General features: G+C 40.4%; 1 long non-coding RNA gene across 1 annotated transcript in view, besides 2 other annotated features; it reads left to right on the top strand.

Moving 5' to 3' along the window:
- Positions 1-9,882, top strand: part of LOC105378740 (uncharacterized) — a 71,267-nt gene extending 61,385 nt beyond the window's left edge. Inside the window, exons 2-3 of the long non-coding RNA XR_947380.3 lie at positions 2,239-2,376; positions 9,333-9,882. This is a non-coding gene — a long non-coding RNA (uncharacterized LOC105378740). The remainder of the gene's footprint in view (positions 1-2,238; positions 2,377-9,332) is intronic.
- Positions 4,396-4,565: an enhancer, noted in NCBI's record as "experimental_8540 CRE fragment used in MPRA reporter constructs". NCBI's record gives its function as "activates a minimal promoter by MPRAs in K562 erythroleukemia cells, with activity observed for the non-introgressed 1:56254736 variant allele {active_cell/tissue: K562}" and the evidence as "EXISTENCE:reporter gene assay evidence [ECO:0000049][PMID:34662402]".
- Positions 16,781-19,112: an enhancer, noted in NCBI's record as "VISTA enhancer hs1622". NCBI's record gives its function as "enhancer in: limb[5/6] | branchial arch[5/6] | facial mesenchyme[5/6]" and the evidence as "EXISTENCE:transgenic organism evidence [ECO:0001131][PMID:17130149]".

Genomic DNA, 24,131 nt, shown 5'->3' with positions numbered 1-24,131 from the left:
TTTAGTGAAAAAGAAAGTTACCACTTAAGATACACCTATTATGGTAGAATTTTTAAAGCTGTATTATTCAGTATTATTGATTTGTGTTCACTATTCACAAATTAGAATTTTACTTGTATTATATATTCCATTTAGCATAGAAAGTAGACATTCTGATTGGACTTAAAAGAATACTGATTCTTAAGAAATATTGGACCTAGAAGATGTCTGGGGTTCTTGACTATGAAGAAATACATTTAGTGTGTAGCAATTAGTTTTTGATGTGTGCTACAAGTAATTTATTGTTTATATCACCTTTATACAAGCTATTCAATCTGTAATCCCCTTTGTTATAGTATAATTATTAAGAAAAATCAGACTAGCATCCAAAAATAAGAGGTAGCCTACATTTTCACTGCAGCCTCTTGAGCAATGCCAAGTGTTCCATTCACAGCATACAGCAAATTAACAACATAAATGTGTTCTCCAGTTAGTCAGCTCATCTACATACTCTTTCCCATGATCCAACACACATATATACACACCCAACCTGCAGCTGTACCCTGATCTTTTTTTTTTTCCAAAAGTCTTCTAAAACCTGCCTGTGACATCTTTTCTTTGTCCAAATCCCATTTTCACCTTCCTACTTACCTGTAACTTCTTATTCAATTTTCCCTGGGCCCAAACCCATGTAGGATGGAGTTAACCCATGTTCTTCCTGTCTACCACAATATCTTCACATTAAACATGAAAACATGTGAAAGGGTCTTGTAAATTGGAAAATGCTACAAAATTAATTTAGTATGTGTTAGATTTCAGAGTATTAGAATATACAAAGTTATTTACTCCAAGCTTTAAAAAACATGAGGAATCACGCCTGTAATCCCAGCACTTTGGGAGGCCGAGGCGGGCGGATCATGAGGTCAGGAGATCGAGACCCTCCTGGCTAACACAGTGAAACCCCATCTCTACTAAAAATACAAAAAATTAGCCAGGCGTGGTGGCAGGCGCCTGTAGTCCCAGCTACTTGGGAGGCTGAGGCAGAAGAATGGCGTGAACCCGGGAGGCGGAGCTTGGAGTGAGCCAAGATCGCGCCACTGCACTCCAGCCTGGGCGACAGAGCGAGACTCCATCTCAAAAAAAAAAAAAAAAAAAAGAGGAAAAACATAACATCCAAAGCTCCAATAAGCATATTAAGAAAATGTGGCCCAGAAACATGTAAGACCTCTGATATTGCCAAGCTCTTGACCAGGAACCATGAGTTTACATCTCCATGCCTGTGAGATTTACCCAGTGCCTCTGGCTGGTGTACTCAAGGGAAGAAATGTAGGTCTCCAAATCTCCCTCAGGAATTTTGATTAGAGGTTTGGCTTACAGACCAAAAGAACAGCTTTCTTCCTGTCTCACTTTGTGTTTGAAACACCCGAAAAGGCAAATCTGCCCAAAAGGGGAATCTTATGTTTGGCGTAGAAGGAGGATCAGAGGAAAAAGAAGAGGAAAGTTGAATTCTTATAGTAGACATGGCATCTGTTTTTTTTGTTTTGTTTTGTTGTGTGTGTGTGTGTGTGTGTGTGTGTGTGTGTGTGTGTGTGTGTTACTGAGTCTCACTCTTTCCCCCAGGCTGGAGTGCAGTGGCACAATCTTATCTTACTGCACCTCCGCCTCCAAGATTCAAGTGATTCTCCTGCCTCTATCTCCCAAGTACCTGGGATTACAGGTGTGTGCCACCATGCCTGGCTAATTTTTGTATTTTTAATAGAGATAGGGTTTTGTCATGTTGGTCAGGCTGGTCTTGAACTCCTGACCTGTCTCGGCCTCCCAAAGTGCTGGAATTACAGGTGGGAGCCACTGTGCCTGGCCTATGTTTATTTTTCTAAACATATAACTCATGAAACCCTCACAGGTAGAGGTAATTATAATTATTCCTATTTTACTAAAGAGGCAACTGAGGTACCATAGAGCTAAATAATTTGCCCAAGGATATGTGGCCAGTGACTTGCAGGGCAGGAATTGAACTCAAGTCTGTCTCGTTCTAAAGAGCATGGTCTTAACTTTTGCCACTTGCCTGTAAGGGAGGATGAGTGCTTTACTCTTCTCATTCTTACCTTTTGTCTCTCTGAAATAGTCGCTAGTATCTTTAAATCCACTGAAGGCCTGAATAAAATTAAAAGTCAGAGGAAATGTGAACTCACTCTGCCTGAGCTGTGGCATCTCTCTACTTTCCTGCTCTCAGATATTGGTGCTTTTGATTCTCCTTAGAACACAGGACACAGACAAGGACTTACGCCATTGGCTCCCCAGTTCTCAGGCCTCTCAACTCAGGTGAATTACACCAGCTTCTCCAGCTTTCCAGCTTGCAGACAGCAGGTCATGGGATATCTTGACCTCCATAATCATGTGAGCCAATTTCTATAATATTTTTGTGTATGTATGTTATACTGGCTCTTTTCTTTCCCTGGTGAACTGTCTAATATAGGTTTTGTTACTGAAAGAATGGTTCTAGAGAAAGAAAATAAAAATACGTTTTCTAAACTGGTTCTGGGGTTTCTGAAATTGGCTTTCTAATCTGATTAGATTTAAAGACACTAATAACTCTATTTCCAGTAACAGAGAGCAGTGATATTCTATGGCATAAACTCTTCATAGAGACACACAAAATATCTGCATTCAATACTTCTAATCAACCACTTATATCAAGGAACTTGCTTAGAAACAAGGAGTTAAGTGACTCTGTACATACTTTCAAACATTTTTGGAAAACTAAAAAATGGCATTGGGTTGTTGCTGCACTGGACAAAGTGGAAAAAGGGTGAGCTCAGGGACTCAAATTCCCAGCTCAAGCACTACATAAATGACCTCAGAACTTTCAGGCATGCCTAGAGGAGAACCTTATCTCCTGTAGCTACAGGGCTAAATAACTAAAAATCAAACGCAGAACCTGATCCTGAAATTAGCTGAATCACAATGCAAGTTGAATTCCCAGCTTTGCATGCTATCTACTGTTAAAATTAGGGAATTGACTGGGAACAAATGGGATCTTATAAGTTGGAATGGGGACATGTGGGAAGATTCTGATGAAGCTGGGGAAATTTAGTTCCTAAATAAGTCCTTTTTCCCAGAAGAAGGGGCCTCCTGATTCCCAGCAGTAACAGCCTTTCTCCCTCAATCTGAAGAGATTAATCCTCCCTTGCTTGAGGAAATGGTAATGGCCCACCTTGAGGAAGTTACTATGTAAGACAATGCTGGCTCTGCTCAGGACCCACCAATACCCCTCTTTGCTTTTAGACCTCTAACTAGACTCAAGTCCCAGGAAATATCTAAAGGTAAAGTACAAAATATTACCCAGGAGGGGCTACACTACACTCAAAAAGAGCTACCTGAGTTTGCTAACTTATATAAACAGAAATCCAGAGCCATGTATGGGAATGGGTGTTAAAGGTATCAGATGATGGTAGAAAAAAACTTATGGATCAGACTGAATTTATTGATATAGACTCACTAAGCAGATTCTGCATTTAATGTTCTGGCTCAAAGAGTTAGGAAGAGCTCTAACAGTTTGGTTGATTGGCTGAAATATGAATAAAATGATGGCCTACCATGAAAAAATGTAAATGCCCAAACTCCCTTGGTTTAATGTAGAAAAAAGGAATTCAAAGGCTTAGGGAGATTGGAATGTTAGTGTGGATCTCATTTAAGACCTACCCACCCACTCTTGGAGGGTCCTGAAGACCTACCTTTCACTAATATGTTGAGAAATACATTAGTTAGGTGAGCTCCAGTGTCCTTGAAGAACTCCATAATTATTATTTGTAGGCTAGGCCTTTCAGTGGTGACTGCAGCCACTCAACTGGAAAACCTAAATGCAATGTGAATAATTGGATTCCACAGTGGCAGGGGCCAAGTGGCAACACTGAATCACCAAAAGCAAGTTGGGAATAATACCATAATGGACAGCAAAGTCAAAGCCACAATCAGAATAGTTGGACTCACGTAGACCTGTGGTATTGGCTAATCATAATCCTAGAAATGAAATAGACAGGAAGCCCAGTAAACTTTTACTTCATCTATATAAGCAGAAAAGTCCTAGATCAAGTAAACAAAGTCTAAATTGAATAATAAAAACAGTCATGATCCCTCAATTCCCAGGGTTGAGCCAGATTATAGATGTATACCCCTTGAATGAAGGAGAGGCAAGGGAGCCTCAAAGAGGGCCCTCAATACACTACCAAAAGTATATACTGTCAATCTTTCACCCTGCCTTTCCCAAAGGGACCTACCTTTTTTAAACCACTTTAACTATACATTGAACAAAAGGAAATCAGAACTTTCAAGAACTACTAGACACTGGCTCAGAAATGACATTGATTCCAGAAGCCCAAAACATCGTTGTGGCTCTCCAGTAAGAGTAGGGGTTATGGAGGTCAGGTGATCAATGGAATTTTAACTCAAGTCTGTGTTACAGTGGGTCTCGTAGATTCCCAAACCCACCCTGTGTTTATTTCCCCAGATTCAGAATGCTTAAATAAAATAGATATACTTAGCAGCTAGTAGAAAACCCACAGTGGTTTCCTGACCTGTAGGGTAAGGGCTATTACTGAGAGACAGGACTAGCTGAATTTCCTAGGCTGACTAAGAATTCCTAAGCCTAGCTATGGAAGGTGACCACACCCACCTTTAAACATGGGGCTTGTAACTCAATTCACACCTGACCAATCAGATAGTAAAGAGGGGCTCACTAAAATACCAATTAGGCTAAAGGCGGAAGGTAAAAGAAATAGTCAATCATCTAACAACTGAGAGCACAGTGGGGGGGACAATGATTGGGATATAAACCCCAGGCATTCGAGCCAGGAGTGGGCAACACCCTTTGGGTCCCCTCCCATTGGATGGGAGCTCTGTTTTCACTCTATTAAATCTTGCAATTACACATTCTTCTGGTCCATGTTTGTTACAGCTCAAGCTGAGCTTTCACTTGCCGTCCACCACGGCTGTTCACCGTCCACCATGGCTTTTTGCTGCAATCCCAGAACCACTGTTGACTTCCACCCCTCTGGATACGGCAGGGTGTCTGCTGTGCTTCTGATCTAGCGAGGTGCCCATTGCCACTCCCGGTTGGGCTAGAGGCTCACCATTGTTCCTGCATGGCTAAGGCCCCAAGGTTCATCCTAATTGAGCTAAACACTAGTTGCTGGTTTCCATGGTTCTCTTCCATGGCCCACGGCTTCTAATAGAGCTATAATGCTCACTGCATAGCCCAAGGTTCCATTCCTTGGAATCTGTGAGGCCAAGAACCCCAGGTCAGAGAACAAAAGGCTTGCTGCCATCTTGGGAGTGGCCCCCCACATCTTGGGAACTCTAAGAACAAAGACCCCCAGTAACATTTGGTGGCCTCATATGGGGATTCTCCAAAGCAGTGAATAATATCAGACCACTTTCACTTGCTATTCTGTCCTATTGTTCCTTAGAATTGGAGGAAAATACCAGGCACCTGGTCGGCTGGTTAGAAATGATTAGCATGGCCGCCGGACTCAGGTGTGAGGCTTCCTGGGAAAAGGCTTTCTAACAACCCCCAACCCTTCTGGGTTGGGAGCATTAGTCTGTCTGGAACCAGCTTCCAGTTTCACAATTTCCTGGGGGAAGCTGAGGGCTGACTAGAGGCAGAAAGCTGTCGTCCTGAACTCTCAGAATTGGCCAATTGGGATCATGGTGCAGCCAGAAGTCTCTACTCCCATGTGTGTACCCCTACTTCTTCTGACCCATACCTCCTGGGTCCCAACCATGACTTTCTTGAAAGTGTAGCCCCAAAATTCTCCTTACCTCTCATCTACTTCCTGTGATCCCTGCCTCCTAGGTACCAATGCTTCAGACTTTTACTTCCGCTCCCAAGTATTAGAGCAAGTTGTATCTCCAAAGGGATCTAGGGAAGCTCTATGCTGTGTCCTTAGGCATCTAGGCTATGAACCCAGGGAGTCTTGTCCCTGATGACCCTCCCAATTTAGGTATATAGCTCTCGACATGGGCAGTTATGTGGGACCCGTTCCCCACCACCCTTGCCAAGCCTCCAAGTTCTATTATGAGCCATGGCCCCACATTTGTAAATGGCTAGGAGGATTGTTCTCCCATGTGTAAGATGTTCTCCCCCAATTTCTACCCAGCTTACACCTCTGCAATACAATCTCCAAGCCTTGGCTCCTTGGCCAGGGCCTTAGAACTGATGACCCAGTACTTTAACAACTGGGACTATGTCTACGACAACATACTAGATCAGGATGAAAACGAATTGAGTAAATTAAAGGGAGGCCCATATTCCTATAGTGGCAAATGGGGACAATGAGCAAATGTCCTTCCACTGTGTTTCCAAAATCCATCTACAAAGACAGAGAGAAAAGAGAGAGGGAAAGAGGCAGAGAGACAGAGTCAAAGAGAGAAAGAAAAAGATGGAAGTAGTAAAGAAAAAAGCGTGCCCTATTCCTTTAAAAGCCAGGGTAAATTTAAAACCTATAATTGATAATTGAAGGTCTTCTCCATGACTCTATAACACTCCAGTACTACCTTGTTGGTGTAAACAAGGGCGTAGCCTGAAAACACTGAGACCACTGACAACCTGTAGCCTTCCTATCAAATATCCTTAACGCAGTAACCCGCATATGGACCAAATGCATTCAGTCGGTAGCGGCAACTGCTTTGCTAAAAGTAGAAAAATAACCTTTAGAGGAAACCTCATTGTGAGCACAGCTCACCAGTTCAGAACTATCCTAAGTCAAAAAGCAAAACGGGAGCTTACTAACTCAAAAATCTTAAAGTATGGGGCTGTTCTGTTAGAAAAAGGTGATTTAACACTAACCACTGAAAATTCCCTTAACCCGGCAGATTTCCTAACAGAGGATTTAAATCTTCACTACCATACAAAGGTCCAACCAGACTTAGGAAGAATTCCCTTCAGGACAGGACAATAGATGCTTCCTCCCGGGTGATTGAGGGAAAAAAAAAAAACACAATGGGTATTCAGTAACTGATAGGGAGACTCTAGTGGAAGCAGAGTTAGGAGAATTGCCTAAATAATTGGTCTGCTCAAACGTGCCAGCTGTTTGCATTCAGCCAAGCCTTAAAGTACTTACAGAATCAAAACTCCATCTCAATCCTGACTCAAAAGGTTACCTACACCCTCTCTGAAATGAATTTGTGTAAGAACTGTTGTTTACGGGAATGCATCTTGATGGGGCAGCTGGGTTGTTATGAAATACTCAGGAAACCAGCTCAGCTCTAGAACTCGCCTCTGAGTGCAAAGGCAATGTTGGGCACTCTGGTAAAGGACCACTGGAATCTAGCAGCCTGGACCCCTTTCTTTGTGGTCAAGAAAGGCGGGAAAACAGGTGCAGGACTGCTACATTGGTGAGTGTAACTAATCTGATAAGCAGAGGTCCATGGGTTGTTACACACCTTGGAAATGAATAAGCATTAGGACCATAGAGGATGCTCTAGGACTAATGCTCATCAGAAAATGACTAGGTGTGCTGCCATCCCTATGTTCTTTTTTCAGATGTGAAATGTTCCCTCTCATGGCAAAAATGCACCCAAGATGTATTCTGGAGAATTCGGCCCAGTCAGAGTGCATGTACCTTTTTCCCTCTCAGATTTAAAGCAAATTAAAATAGACCTAGGTAAATTCTCAGATAACCCTGATGGCTATATTGATGTTTTACAAGGGTTAGGACAATCCTTTGATCTGACATGGAGAGAGATGTTACTGCTAAATCAGACACTAACCCCAAATGAGAGAAGTGCCACCATAACTGCAGCCCAAGAGTTTTGCGATCTCTGGTATCTCAGTCAGGTCAATGAAAGAATGACAACAGGAAAGAGAATGATTCCCCACAGGTCAGCAGGCAGTTCCCAATGTAGACCCTCACTGGGACGCAGAATCAGAACATGGAGATTGGTGCCGCAGACATTTGCTAACTTGCATGCTAGAAGGACTAAGGAAAACTAGGAAGAATCCTATAAATTATTAAATGATGTCCACTATAACACAGGGAAAGGAAGAAAATCCTATCGCCTTTCTGTAGAGACTAAGGGAGGCATTGAGGAAGCATACCTCTCTGTCACCTGACTCCATTGAAGGCCAAGTAATCTTAAAAGAAAAGTTTATCACTCAGTCAGCTGCAGACATTAGAAAAAAACTTCAAAAGTCTGCCTTAGGCCCAGAGCAAAACTTAGAAACCCTATTGAACTTGGCAAACTCGGTTTTTTATAATAGAGATCAGGAAGAGCAGGTGGAACGGGACAAACAGGATTAAAAAAAAGGCCACCACTGTAGTCATGGCCCTCAGGCAAGCGGACTTTGGAGGTTCTGGAACAGGGAAAGGCTGGGCAAATTGAATGCCTAATAGGGCTTGCTTCCAGTACGGTCTACAAGGACACTTTTAAAAAGATTGTCCGAATAGAAATAAGCCTCCCCCTCTTCCATGCCCCTTATGTCAAGGGAATCACTGGAAGGTCCACTGCCCCAGGGGATGAAGGTCCTCTGACTCAGAAGCCACTAACCAGATGATCCAGCAGCAGGACTGAGGGTGACCAGGGCAAGCGCCAGCCCATGTCATCACCCTCACAGAGCCCTGGGTATACTTGACCATTGAGGGTCAGGAGGTTAACTGTCTTCTGGACACTGGCACAGCCTTCTCAGTCTTACTCTCCTATTCTGGACAACTGTCCTCCAGATCTGTCACTATTCGAGGGGTCCTAGGACAGGCAGTCACTAGATACTTCTCCCAGTCACTAAGTTGTGACTGGGGAACTTTACTCTTTTCAAATGCCTTTCTAATTATGCCTGAAAGCCCCACTCCTTTGTTAAGGAGAGACATTCTAGCAAAAGCAGAGGCCATTATACACCTGAACATAGGAAAAGGAACACCCGTTTGTTGTCCCCTGCTTAAGGAAGGAATTAATCCTGAAGTCTAGGTAACAGAAGGACAATATGGACAAGCAAAGAATGCCTATCCTGTTCAAGTTATACTAAAGAATTCCACCTCCTTTACCTACCAAAGGCAGTACACCCTTAGACCCGAGGCCCAACAAGGACTCCAAAAGATTAAGGACCTAAAAGCCCGAGGCCTAGTGAAACCATGCAATAGCCCCTGCAATACTCCAAGTTTAGGAGTACCGAAACCCAACGGACAGTGGAGGTTAGTGCAAGATCTCAGGATTATCAATGAGGCTGTTGTCACTCTATACCCAGCTGTACCTAACCCTTATACTCTGCTTTCCCAAATACCAGAGGAAGCAGAGTTGTTTATAGTCCTGAACCTTAAGGATGCCTTTTTCTGCATCCCTGTATCTTTAACCTCCTTGTTAAGTTTGTCTCTTCCAGAATCAAAGCTGTAAAACTACAAATCTTTCTTCAAATGGAGCCCCAGATGCAGCCCATGACTAAGATCTACCACAGACCCCTGGACCGACTTGCTAGCCCATGCTCTGTTGTTGATGACATCGAAGGCACTCCTCCTGAGGAAATCTCAACTGCACAACCCCTACTACACCCCAATTCAGCAGGAAGCAGTTAGAGCAATCATCAGCCAACCTCCCCAATAGCACTTGAGTTTTCATGTTGAGGGGGCTACTGAGAGACAGGACTAGCTGGATTTCCTAGGCCGACAAAGAATTCCTAAGCCTAGCTGGGAAGGTGACCACACCCATCTTTAAACACGGGGCTTGTAACTCAGTTCACACCCGACAAATCAGGTAGTAAAGAGCGGCTCACTAAAATACCAATTAAGCTAAAGGCAGGAGGTAAAAGAAACAGTCAATCATCTATCACCTGAGAACACAGAGGGAGAGACAATGATTGGGATATAAACCCCAGGCATTCGAGCCAGGGGTGGGCAACCCCCTTTGGGTCCCCTCCCATTGTATGGGAGCTCTATGTTCACTCTATTAAATCTTGCAATTACACTCTCTTCTGGTCCATGTTTCTTATGGCTTAAGCTGAGCTTTCACTCGCCATCCACCACTGCTGTTTGCCGCCGTCGCACACCCGCTGTTGACTTCCACCCCTCCGATGCGGCAGGGTGTCCGCTGTGCTTCTGATCTAGTGAGGTGCCCATTGCCATTCCTGATCAGGCTAGAGGCTCACCATTGTTCCTGCATGGCTAAGGGCCCAGGGTTCATTCTAATCGAGCTGAATACTAGTTGCTGGGTTCCATGGTTCTCTTCCGTGACCCACGGCTTCTAACAGAGCTATAACACTCACCGCATGGCCCAAGGTTCCATTCCTTGGAATCCATGAGGCCAAGAACCCCAGGTCAGAGAACAAAAGGCCTGCCCCCATCTTGGGAGCGGCCCACCACATCTGGGGAGCTCTAAGAACAAAGACCTGTCCGTAACTTGATGGACAAGGTCAAGTAGAAGCCATTGTAACTGCCTCTACCTAGGAAAATAGTGCATTAAAAGCAATGTGGCATCCCTGATGGTATTGCAGAGATTAGTGCCACCATCGACAACTTGAAAGATGCAGGGATAGTGATTCCCACCACATCCCCATTCCACTCTACTTAGCCTATACAGAAGATCTTGGAGAATAACAGTAGGTTACTGTAAGCTTAATCAAGTGGTAACTCCAATTGTAGCTGCTATACCAGATGTGATTTCATTGCTTCAGCCAATTAACACATCCCCTGGTACCTGGTATACGGTTATTTACCTGTCCTTTTTATCCATACCTGTTCATACCAGAAACAGTTTCCTTTCAGCTGGCAAGGCCAGAAATATACCTTCACTGTCCTACCTCAGGGGTATATCAACTCTTTTGCCCTGTGTTATAATTTGGTTTCCAGGGATCTTGACCACCTTTCCCTTCTACAGGGCATTCCATTTGTTCATTACATTGACATGCTGACCTAATGAGCAAGAATTAGCAACTATCCTAAACTTATTGGTAAAACATTTACATACCAGAAGGTGAGAAATAAATCCAACTACAATTCAGGGGCCTTCTACCTCAGGGAAAGCTTTAGAGTTGCAGTTGTATATCAAGATATCCCTTCTAAGGTGAAGAATAAGTTATTGTATCTGGCCCCTCTCACAAGCAAGAGAGAGGTACAATGTCTAATGGACCTGTCTGGATCTTGAAAACAATGTGTCTGTCATTTGGACATGTTACTCCAGCCCATTCACCACATTAATGGAAAAGCTGCCAGTTTGGAGTGAGGCCCAGAATTTTTTAAAAGGCTCTGCAATAGGTCCACGCAGCTGTGCAAGCTGTTCTGAGACTTGGGCCATGTGATCCAGCGGATCCTATGGTGCTTGAAATGCCAATGGAGAAAGATGCTGTTTGGAGCCGTTGGTGGGGCATTATTGGTGATTTGCAACATAAGCCTTTAGGATTTTGGAACAAAGCCCTGCCATCATCTACAGATAACTACTCTCCTTTTGATAGATGTCTTTTGGACTGCTACTGGGTCTTAATAGAAATAGAACACTTGACCATGAGTCACCAAGTTTCCATTGCAACTGAGCTTACCATTATACACTAGTTATCTGACTCATCAAGCCATAAAGTTAGGTGTGCACAGCACTGCTACATTAAGTGGAAGTTATATGTGTGTAATCAGGCTCAAGAAGGCCCTGAAGGTACAAGTAGGTTATATAAAGAAGTGGCCCAAATGCTTGTAGTCCCAACTCAGGCTATACTGCCTCTCTCTCCCAGCCTGCACCTATGGCCTCATGGGAGTTCCCGATGATCAATTGACAGAGGAACAGATTTGTGCCTCATTTGCAGATGGTTCTATATAAAATGTGGGAGCTGCCTGAAAGTGAACAGGGGCAGTACTACAGGCTCTCTCTGGAATATACATAAAGAACAGTAGTAAAGGGAAACCCTGCCAGTGGGCAGAAATTTGGGCACCGTACCTGGTTGTGGACTTTGCTCAGAAGAAATGGCCAGATATGGTATACCAATTAATGAGCTGTAGACAATAATTCAGAGTTGGAAGAAAACATGACTAGAAAACTGACAAACTTGGAAGCGGTGTGTCAATAGACCTCTCTGAATGGACAAAATGCAATATTTGTGTCCCATGTGAATTCTCAAAGTGACCTCAACAGAGAAGGATTTTAATAACGTGATTGGTGTTCACAGAATGGGTCATTTTATCAGTCTTTTTCCCCAACTACCTCTTTGCCCAATGGTCTCATTTTAAAAAAATGGTCATAGTGGCAGAGATAGAGGCTATGCGTGGGCTCGGCAATGTGGACTTCCACTCACCAAGGCTGACTTGCTGAATGCCGATCTGATAGCAGCTAAAGATGATACTGAGCCTCCAATTTGGCACCATTTCTTGAAGTGATCAGCCAGCCACCTAGTGTGGCAAGGTTGATTACATTGGATCTCTTCCATCATGAAATGGGCAGCATTTTGTTCTTACAGAGTAGACATTTACTCTGGATATGGATTTGCCTTCCCTGAACACAATGCTTCTGCCAAAATTATCTGTAGACTTACAAAATGCCTCATCCACCATAATGATACTCCACACAGAAGCTTATCAAGGAACTCACATCACAGAAAAGAAGTGAGGCAATTGGCCCATGCTCATCGAATTAACTGATCTTACCATGTTCCTCATTATCGTGAAGCAGCTGGCTTCACAGGATGGTGGGGCTAACTAGGTTGGAATACCTTGCAGAGTTGGGGTTCTCCAGAGACTGTATACTCTCTGAATCAGTGTCCAATATATGGTGCTATTTCTGATAGCCAGGAATCAAGGGGGTAGAAATAGAGTGGCACCTCTCATTTACTAGCAAAACTTTTGCTTCCTGTTCCAACTTTATGCTCTGCTGGCCTAGAGATCTTAGTTCCAGAGGGGGGAAAATGCTTCCACCAGGAGACCCAACCATAATTCCTTTGAACTGCAAGTTAAGATTGCCACCTGGCCACTTTGGACTCCTCCTGCCTCTGAGTCAACAGTAAAAGAAAGGAGTTATGTGGGCTGGGGTGATTGATATGGACTACCAAAAGGAAATTGAACTCTACTACTCCACAGCTGAGGTAAAGTAGAATGTCTGGGATACAGGAAACCCCCTAGGGTGTCTTTTAGTATTACCATGTTCTTTTGTTAACATCAATAGGAAACTATAACCCAATACAGACAGGAATTGTCAGGAAAAGTGACCCAGACCTTTCAAGAATGAAGGTTTGGGTCACCCTGAAAAGCAAATAACTGACCAGTTGAGATTGTTGCTGAAGGCAAAGAGAATGCAGAATGGGTGGTAGAAGAAGTTATAAATACCAGCTACAACCATGTGGCCAGTTATAGAAATGAGGACTGTAATTGTCACAAATGTTTTCTCATTTTGTTATATATACATTTGTGTATATATATATATATATAGATACATATTAAGCAAATATCTTTCTTTCATTCTGTTACGTAACATAAGACATTGACTTTATTAGTATTTAATATTGCTAATTTTACATCATAGTATCTAAGTATAGGATAACAGATTAAACATTATTCAGAATTTTTCCTTTTGGGGAGAAGGGATTAATTTTAGGTTGTACACAGGATTACATCATGTTAGAATTCTGACCTTATTATGTTTATTTGGAAACTATGGTTTGTATGGCATGGTAAAGAGATGTCTAAGTGCCAAGTTGACAAAGGGTAGACTTGTGATGTTAATTTTATGTGTCAACTTGACTGAGCTAAAGGGTGACCAGATAGCTAACAAAACATGTTTTCTAGGTATATCTGTGAAGGTGTCTCTAGAAGAGATCAGCAATCTAACTGATCAACTGAGTAAAGTAGAAAGGCCCTTCACCATGTTGATGGGCATCATCTAATCCATTGAAAGTCTGAACAGAAAAAGGCAGAGGGAGAGCAAATTGGCTCTCTGCTTAAGTTGAGATGTCCATTTTCTCCTGCCTTCAGACCTCAGACATCGGTATTCCCATTGACCTCCCAACTCACAGGCCTTTAGATTCAGGTTGAATTACATCACCAGCTTTCCTAGTTTTCCAGCTTACCAACAGCAGATCATGGGACAACCTAGTCTCCATAACCATGTAAGCCAATGCCTATTATCTCTTTAAATATCTCTGTGTATATTCCATTGGTTATTTTCCTCTGGAGACTCCTAATACAGCTATATACATTTAAACTTCAAATTCAACAGTCATGGTCATTTAGAACATGTAGTGTTTCCTTAATCTGCAAGAGATGGTGAGGAAGAAGAAATGACAACTTATGAAAATTATTCTACTGCAGGTATGATGGCTAAATTTTACATGCCAATTTGATTGGTCACCATGGGGTGCCCAGGTAATTTCATTAAACCTCGTGTCTGTGTTTCTGGAGAAGATTAGCATTTGAAGTAGCAGACTGGGTAAAGCAGATAGCCCTCCTCAATGTGAGTGTGCATCATTCCATCCATGTAGGACCTAAATAGAACAAAAAGCAGAGGAAGGGAAAATCCTCTGTGTGTGTATTATGTGTATGTATATATGTGTGTGTGTGTGTGTGTGTGTATATATACATATATATATACACACATATATATATATATACATATATATATATATATATACTCTTCTGTTTCTCCAGAGAACCTAACAGCAAGCATGTTTCTTACTCTAGATCAGGGGTATCCAATCTTTTGGCTTCCCTGGGCCACAGTGGGAGAATTATTGTCTTGGGTCATGTATAAAATACACTAATGATAGCTGATGAACTAAAAAAAAAATTGCAAAAAACTCAATGTTTTAAAGCTTACAAATTTGTGTTGAGATGTATTCAAAGCTGTCTTGGGCCACAGGTTGGACAACCTTGCTCCAGATGAAAGATTTCGAAGCAAGTAGAATACAAAACGGACAGCAAAGAAACTGAAAAATTGAACTTACTTGAAAAATGTTTAAATATCAAAACTTGTTATTCCCAGAAGATGCATTTGACAATTCTTGGTTATAAAACAGCTCATCTATCTTCAAGTCATCCAGCCCTTTGCTTTGATCCATGTTTTTCTGCATCAGAATTATAAGAACCAATAAAATGCAAGATAGTAATCTCCTCAAACACTGCCTATCCAGCCAATATGAAATTGATACTGTTCTTAAATGAAATCTGAGTTTTAAAAGTACAATATTAAGTTTTTATGAATTTTCGTGTGCAGTGTTTAGCTTGCTTTTATCCAATGTTTTAGAATGGTGTGTGTTTAGCATTATTTTAACTTGATTTTTACTATGCGTATAAAAATATTTTAAAAGTATCAAATATTCCATCTTACTTGTTTTTAAGTTTTATGAATATTCTTATGAAATACTCTTATTAATACCAGCATTTCATTACATTAAAATAAAATCCTTAGGTATGCATATTATATGTTTTGGGGTTTTGTGGTTTCTTGTGCTTTGGAATTGCAATCACTAAAACATATTATCTCTTCTATCCAGTAGTTCATGATTTAGCAGAGAGACAATCTATCTAAACTGCTGCTAGAGATCATTGAGCTTTAACAAAGTCTTGAAAGGTGTATGAGTTAGAGAGTGACATCCCAGGAGGAGGGGACAGCAGGGGTAAATACAGAGAGGCAGGAAATGGCAAGCATGAGCACTGGAATGAAACTAGGAGCAAGCAATGGCAGATTCTACAGGTGTGGACATACACAGAAGTGTGGTCAGGCTTCCAGCAGCTGCCAAATGCCTTGTTCTCACAACACTCACCCCTGACTACTTCTGCTACTAGTTTTTCCTCATGCTTTTATTGAGAACAACTTTATATTGCATATATGTATGTATGGATGGATGGGAACCATACACATATGTGGCTTGTTTGAGTCTTGCCTAGTAGCTGATCCTCAGGCTGTTTGATCATGATTTTTACATTGTACAGCAGCCCAGACATCAGGGAGATATATGCAATAGAAACTGCAAAGACAAACATGAATAAAAAGGCGCCTGGCTCACGGGCCAAACTTGATTTCATAATGGGTATTGAAACCAGGACCCAATCAAAAGGTCCACTCTCCAGGCCAGGTAACGAGATGCTGACATATCCTCTGTTGCAGTCCAAATAAACACAAGACCCTGCATTGCATCTTGATACCTATGCAATGTTCTCTGAACCACCGCTTTCCCTCATCTATGTGTGTGAGTACACAATACACACACATTCTACAAAGAATTCACGCTGATTGTCAACAGGCTTGTTTCGATATTGCTGCAGTCAGGTATACGAAAAAGTAAAGGGGAAATGGCGAAGGAAACTTAGATTCAGCACCAACTACATTCAAAGACCAATGCTGTGTGCTTTGCATATACTGTCTCAAGTCCCACTATTCCTACTCCTGTCAATTCCAATTTGTAGTGGAATAAACTAAAGTTTGAACCTTATTCCTGTCCCTAATAAACTGTAGGGCCTTGGGTGAGTGAACAGTGAAAACAGGAAGCAGCTTGCATTGAGATGAAAACGTAATACGCATGAAGAGTTGATACACACTTATTGCAGACCCAGGTTCATGGTAGACTCATGTTATATTTACTTAGGTCTATATCCAATGTCATATATTATAAACTTATGACTCCTCCTGCAAAACAAATCCCCAGAAAACCCTGTTTCTTAACCCACATTAAGAAACTTAAAAATAAAACAACCATCTCATTGCCAACCATCTCCCCTACCCAAAGAGAAGCCAAAACAAAATGCAGTCTTGTAGCCAGAAATAAGTCAGTGTTCTGCTTATAAGGCAGAAAGAAAAAATGGATTCAGGTAAGCAACTAGCAATTCCTGCCACAGTGGTTGAAAGGAATTTCAACATGACCAATGCTTGTAATTATTTTGTTTTTCTTTTTGTTTTATTTTTTTTTCAGGAGTAAAACATGGAGTATTAAAAATTGCTATGTCTGGTAGTGAACATATGAATGGCACAGAAAAGTATAGACAGTAATATATTTTTGAAAACTCTGGGACTAGTAATATATATTTTGAGAGTTTAAGAAATAGGAAAATAGGATAACTTTAGGAATGTATCTATATATGCTACTGGTTTCTTCTAGACTGGCCCCAACATAAACTTCTTCCTGCCCAGATCCTTCCTATCACTCCTCCTAAGAACCCAGATCCACTGTCTTCTCCTTGGTGGTCCTTAGTGAACCAGTCAAGTAAAGACAACTATGCCCTTCCATGTTCCAGTGTACCAGAACATATAGTTGAAGCAGCAATCACATTATACAATATTGTTTACTACCTACTAAACCCTAACCCCCATGAGGACAGTCATTGGGTCGTCTACCACTCTCTGCCCGTTGCCTAGCACAGCAACTGGTGCATAGTGAGTGCTCAACACATTGTTGAATTGTGTTAAACATCAGTTTTGTTTCCTAGACTGGATTTCTTGTATAACTTAACATGGTGCCTGGGACAGAAAAGATACTAGGGGAATGAACTAACAAATGCATGAATTCATGACAATGAAAAATACACAAGTGAGAAAGTAAACAAAACCAGTGCACACCCTTTTATGTTGATATTATCCCAATTTCACAGATAATGGCTGTCAGAAAAGTGAATAGTTTCTCCAACAAATTATCCAAGCTTATGATGGGATTGAGATTGAATTCCAAGGATGATTGGCTCTAAATGTTATATTCTTGTCTCTTGATAAGATTTTTATACCTGAGCTCTTAAGACACCAAAACATAGATAATTTCAAGTGTGTTTTGCTTTTTTTTCCCAAAACCATATCATAAACTTATATCTCTTGAATAATCTGCTATTTGCTCAACTTCTAGTATATGCTTTGGGCAGCCTTCCAGCTAGAAAATAAGCCAAAAATTGTTTTGTAGAACATAGCTTTTTGTTATATGAAGATGCAATTAACAGAATATTACCCTCTTCTGAAGGGATATGGCTGTAAAAGGGTTAAAATCCATGAGGCTCACCCCGTGCCCCTAAACAATTGCCCAAGCATGTCCTCCTCTCAAGGAATAACTGGTACAGCAATTACTAGGGTTCAAGGATATATCCTTACTCTCTCTAGAGCCCAGAGGCAATAGAGCTATTTTCTGTAACAGCACAGTTGATCCCTTTATACTCGTTCTGTGACCCAAGTAGACAGACCATTCACAATGTCAAATTCATAAGCCCCTCACAGTGACCTCTGAGAGTCAAGGTCAGCATATGCTTGCTCCCTGTGAATGCATATATTATGGTGGGTGCTCCAATATACAATGCCTCTCAAAGGTCCTGGTTTCAGAATATGTCTCTGCCATCCTCATAGCCCTTCAGCATCATTAGTGATCCCAAGATAGCCAAAATTTAATGAGTTGCAGGGAAGCATAGACTGTGAGACCATCTGGAATGAGTTTGGAGCCAGAACCCACCTGTGATGCATTAGGCCTCAACCCCAGACTGGCTCGGTGGAGAGAAGCTGCCGGGGCCTGCTAATCGAGGAACCTGGGGGAGTGTAACTGGAGAAGGGTGATTTTGGAGCAAAGAGCTTGCCAGGATCTGTTTGTCTCCTGAGTGTGCAGGCAGGCTGTCTATCTAAAGGGTTTAAATTTTCCACATTGTGAAGGGAGAAAATGGCTACCCATAGAGATGGTTTGTCCTTTTCCACACACCTTCTGTGAGAGAAAGAACTCCCTTTCAGATACACCACTGGGCAAAAGATGGTGGAGCCTGGCATATTGAACCTGAGGTTTGGGGGTCAAGCAAGCTAAGTTCTAGTTTTGGCTATTACTCAATTTGCTGGGTGATCTGTTTTCTCATCTGGTTTGTAATAGCTACTGTCTTAGTCCACTTGGGTGGGTATAACAAACTCTTAGACTGGGTGACTTAAACAACAGATATTATTTCTCATAGTTCTAGAGGTTGGGAAATCTAAGATCAAAGTGCTGGCAGATTTATTTCCTGGGGAGGGCCCTCATCCTGGCTTGCAGGCAGCTGCCTTCTCAATGTATCCTCATGTGGTAGACACGTGAGCTCTGGTCTCCTCCTCTTATAAGGACACTAATCCTATCGTGGTGATCTCACTCCTTCCTCTGGGGTTCCCTAGTAAGGTCCTAGTAGAGTCCATACCATACACATAAGAGTCAATAACCATGTTCGAAACAAAGTATCACATGCCTCACAAATAGAGTTGTCTGGTAACATGAAATTGGATTTTCTATACCATCATTAATGTCAACTACAAATAGAGATAGTTTTCTTTTCCCTTACTAGCATTTATACTTCTATTTCTTTTTCATGCTTTATTGCAATGACTAGGAGCTTCAGTAAAATATTGAGTAGAACTAATGAGAGTGACCTCTTTGCCTAGTTCCTGATCTTCTAGGAAAGACATTCAATATTTGTTCACCAAGTATGATATTAACTCTGTGTTTTTCATAGATACCTTTTACCAGATTGAGGAGTTTCCTTCCTATCATTAGTTTGCTAAAATTATTCTTTAAATTTTATTTATGATTTGATTTTTACTGGGAATAAAAGAATAGAGATTAAGTGACTGATACTTGGGAAATTATCAGCATAATTTTAATAAAGCAAATATGTTTGAAGACAATCTTCTTATTTGAGAGAAAAGTATAATATCTAGGTCTTTATAGTTCTGTAAAAAGTATTATATATCTTAATTTGCCTGAGAAAGTTCTAGTATATTTTGGTTGTCTTAGCATCCCATCTATTTTAGGACTTCCCCTGGACTTTTCATTTTTAAAAAAATGTTCTTAGTAGTTACATTAAAATGCCCTGAGATGGATCTGACAGAAAACCACTTTGTACATCAAGCTTCTGCCATGCTCTTGCCAAGTATGCATGGGAAAAGTTCTCACTTTAGCACATGATGAAATAGGAAAGAATCACAATAACTCATACAGTAATTTTTTCCTGACATTTTTCAGATGCAAGGTAAATCAAATGTTCTCCTTCAACAACAGTTTGCTGGGTACTCACTGATAAAATAAACTACACTCAGACATGATTGGATAGAGTTAGCTAACTCCTTTCGGTCCCAGGTAGTGGTGGCAGAAAATTCATTCCGCTTTCCCTATCAGCCATTTGAAGTTGTGCTGTGGCCCTTGCCTTGGGCTTTCAGATGCACAAATCTTCCAGGCTACTAGTCCGTGGGGTAAGCGGGAAGCTTGTGAAATTATGGATTAAGTGTAAATAAAGTATGTGCAAAGGAAAAAAACCAGCTGAGCAGTCCTGAGGTAGATTATATATCCAGCAGTGTAAACACACATGCTACAATGGTCTTGTCATATTTTGTGATAAACATTTCAGCAGCAATCAAGAATGAAAGTGCATGTTTAATGAAAAATTATGTATTAAATTCCCACTTCTCAAAAAAGTTGAACATGAAACATTTACAAAACATTTTGCAACATTTCTTGTCTTCCATAGGGGCCATAGTGATATTACTGAACTCATGAACATCAGGATACACAAATCTGCAGAAAGATCATAATAACTTATTTCACAACTTAATTGTTCTTTCAAGAGAATATTTAAAAACCTCTACCTGAAGTCCACATGCACAGCTGTAGAAAGTACTTCTCTATAACATTCTGTGAAGCATGACTTCTCATTCATCTTCAGGGACTGGCTCTATCAGATTCTTTTTTTAAGATAATTTTGTTCCTATTTAACTCAAGGTTTTCTTGTACTTGCATAAAGGTGAAATAATAACTATTAATATAGTGTCTCTATGAACAAAAGCAAAATTTTGCAAATAGTTACATAAGTGTGATGTTACAAATAGAAATAAATAATCTCAATGGGCAATTTTAAAATCAAATGTATAGAATCAAAGTAAAAATTTTAGTTCACTCTGACAAAAATGAAATATCTAATTCTTTTACAAAACTTTTACAAAAAGTTAAATATTGAAGACAAAAGTATTTTTGTGGTGGTCATAAGAATAATTTTGGTAGAATATTCCATTATAGCAAATAATATTTTTACTAAATTGAGAAATCTATGGTGATATGCAAATGTATTTGAAATTGATTTTGGTACACACATAATTTACACTTGTATTCTCATTGTCATATTCTACAATTGAAATAGAATCTGTAGTTATCAAAATGTATCAATATTTTCAGAGAAATTAGCAAAGACAATGTTGAATATGAAATGAACAAATTTTTTTCTGAGAAAGAATTCAGAAGCAAAACTTCATTCGACAGAACAGTTTGCAAACCAGGGGAGATGCTTCCTTCCCTGTAAAAATGAGGGCTTTACACAAAAGAGAACAAAGGCAGGATTTGGCTTTTATACATAGTTCCTGTCCAGGTTTCCTATCAGTTCTGTTTATGCAAAGTAAGGATTCAAACTTGCTCAGGTCTGATTGGTAGAAGCAGTGGAGTTCTGACTGGTTGGTTCAGGTGATGTGAACAGGAACAATCGGCCATGAAATTCCCAAAGTTAAGCAGCCGTGAGGGTTTTCTGGGACCTCAGAGTATGGGTGTGACCTCTATTCAGCAAATGGCCCCTTGGTTCCATTTTAAAATCAGGCCCAGTTAGCCACTCAGGATTCATCTTAAGGTATTGGCTCTTTCAGGTTCTCACAAATACAGAAATGAATAATAATTCATATCTATAGTAATTCATATCTATAATTTGTATATTTATAAAAACATGACTGAGCTCTTTGCTGTCCTATTATCAATTGGATTTTAGAAATGTTTGAGCCTGGGAAGAGCTATGTAAATCAACTTCAGAGTCATTTGTAAATTACCACTTTAAATTGTGATTGCATTTTTTCATTAATCATTCAAAGAAAAAGCATTAAAAAACCAGCTTTTGAAACCCTAAGTGAATTGCAATAATAGAAAACAAAGCTTAAAAACAGAAAGAGATTGAAATGTATCTCCATATAAGCAAGGGAGAAACCAAACAACTTAGATAATGAGAACTCAAACAGTCAGCAACATTTAACTTTGAAATTCTATAATTGCACTTTGATATATCTTGACTTGGGGAAAGGATCTTTTGCTGGAGCTACTATTTCTAATTGGATAGATGTGTATTCTGTACTGGAATACAACACTGAGAATACTTATACTTTTGAAACATCTAAATTTGGTGACGTAAGAGTCTATTGGATGAGTTATAAAAATATTTGTCAAAGCTTTTCTAAATGGGAAAAAAATGATTATATCCATGAAAATATTGGGGCTATACATATTTTAATACATAAAAATAAAAATTATAAATATTCCCATTTAACAGAATTTCCTGAGCTGACCACATACTGGTAGAGTTTTCTCAATTAAAAATATTTTGCTCTTAAACAAAAATCAAATTGAATTTATTAAGCAAAAAAAAAAAAAAAACAACTTGAAGAATGTGCAGGCAATTGAATGGAAAAAAATAAGACTATACTGAAAAAATGAATCCATCAGGGGGATACTGTGAATGAATTAAAATATATGGGTGCATATGATTTATATTACTTTCTAATGTTCACATAGCCAATATAAAGACATTTTCAGTTATCAGAGACATTACTCTTAAGAAATAATTTTATTTCCAAAAATAATTTGTGAATACAATAATTTCTAGATTGACAACAGATGCTAATCAATTTTTTTAAGTTTGTAAGTTTAATTATTTTAGCGTACTCAAATGTCCCACCTTGGTAGTAACTCATGTGTCACTCTACCTAAAATAAGAGGAAAATCTCTGGCCCATTCTGTGAACAATACAATCACCCAAAACTTAGTTATGTGGCCCCTGAAGGTTATATATTACACTACCTCTCTCAGAAAGGTATTGCTGATGGCAGGCAAATCTGCCCACTCTAAAATGCCAGAAATGATATCTTCCCACTCAATTCCTTTGATTCAATGGAGCCAGGACCCTGGTGTTTAAATTCCCATTCACAAGGGAGCTCACAAATCAAAGAAAATGGCACAGAGAGGACTCCTGCACTAACTAGACCTAGGGGTGGGGGTTTTGTTATCCACTCAATCAGTAATCAGTGTGCTCAGTCTTCTGGGGTGCAGAGATAGGAAAGTCACAACTCCTAGGCTCAATCTACTGGAGATGGTAAAAGCATATTCAACTAATTTTAACACTTGACAACATGAAGTAATGTTAACTAGGCAATCATATCAAATGCAGTGCAAGCCAGAGAAGGCAGCAACAAATTCTAGCTAGGGCATCAGCTGTGGTGACAGTGAGCTGAGGCTTGTGGGATTTCCATAATGGAGGCAGGTGTTTAGAGTTTGAGGGAACAGTAGATAAAAAAAGGCAGAGTGGGAGTGTGTCATACAGCTGGTGTCCAAAAGCAAGTGTTGGGCTGAGAAGTGTTTATTTTCTATGAACACATCTCAACAATGCACATGAGAACCAGCAATAACGGGTAGGCAAGGTGTTGTGTGAGAAATTGCACCCAGGATTTTAAAAGGGAGATCCAGAAGAGGGATATGAACATCTGATGTTCTCCTCATGCTGTTAGAAAGCCCATAAGAAAGATCTGGATGGGAGCTAATGAGGCTTGAGTGACACTGTGCTGCAGATATCCCATAAGCTGGCTTAAGACAGCACAGAAAATGGTGGTGTTTGACAACAGGAAGTTTTCATTCTTTTCGGGAAAAAATTCCTGTACCTTTTTGCCCTGTTCCTCCACCCGTAAAGATTGTGTTCTGACCAGTCATTGGGCTTCAACTGCGTACTCATTGCTATACAATAGTCTAACTTTCCAATACTGTGGCTCCTTCCGGGACAGAAAATGAGAGCTGATAAAGAAAGGCTCATATTCAAGGGAAGAACATAACTCTTTTTTCTCTTTAGTTACTTGGGCACATGATAAATATGTGACATGAGAAGAGCATAGTTCTCAGAACTTTGGCATTTTCATTGCTTTAACGGAGGTTTTTTTTTGTCATTTCACAAAATAGTGTTTGAAAAATAGATAAGCTTAATAATTGGGGGGTCTTAAATGCCCTTCTAAATATTTCAATGTTTTCATATTGCCTACAGCATTGTCTTAGTACATTTGGGCTGCTATAGCAGAATGCCATAGACTAGGTGGCTTTTAAACAAAAGAAACTTATTTCTTACAGTTCTAGAGGCTACGTCCACAATCAAAGTGCTGTCAGATTAATATCCGACAAAGCCTCTTGCTTCCTAGTTCATAGACAACCTTCTTCCTGC

The sequence above is a fragment of the Homo sapiens genome, chromosome 1, assembly GCF_000001405.40.
Source record: "Homo sapiens chromosome 1, GRCh38.p14 Primary Assembly".
Lineage (NCBI taxonomy): Eukaryota > Metazoa > Chordata > Mammalia > Primates > Hominidae > Homo > Homo sapiens.
This window is presented reverse-complemented; position numbering and strand designations above follow the sequence as displayed.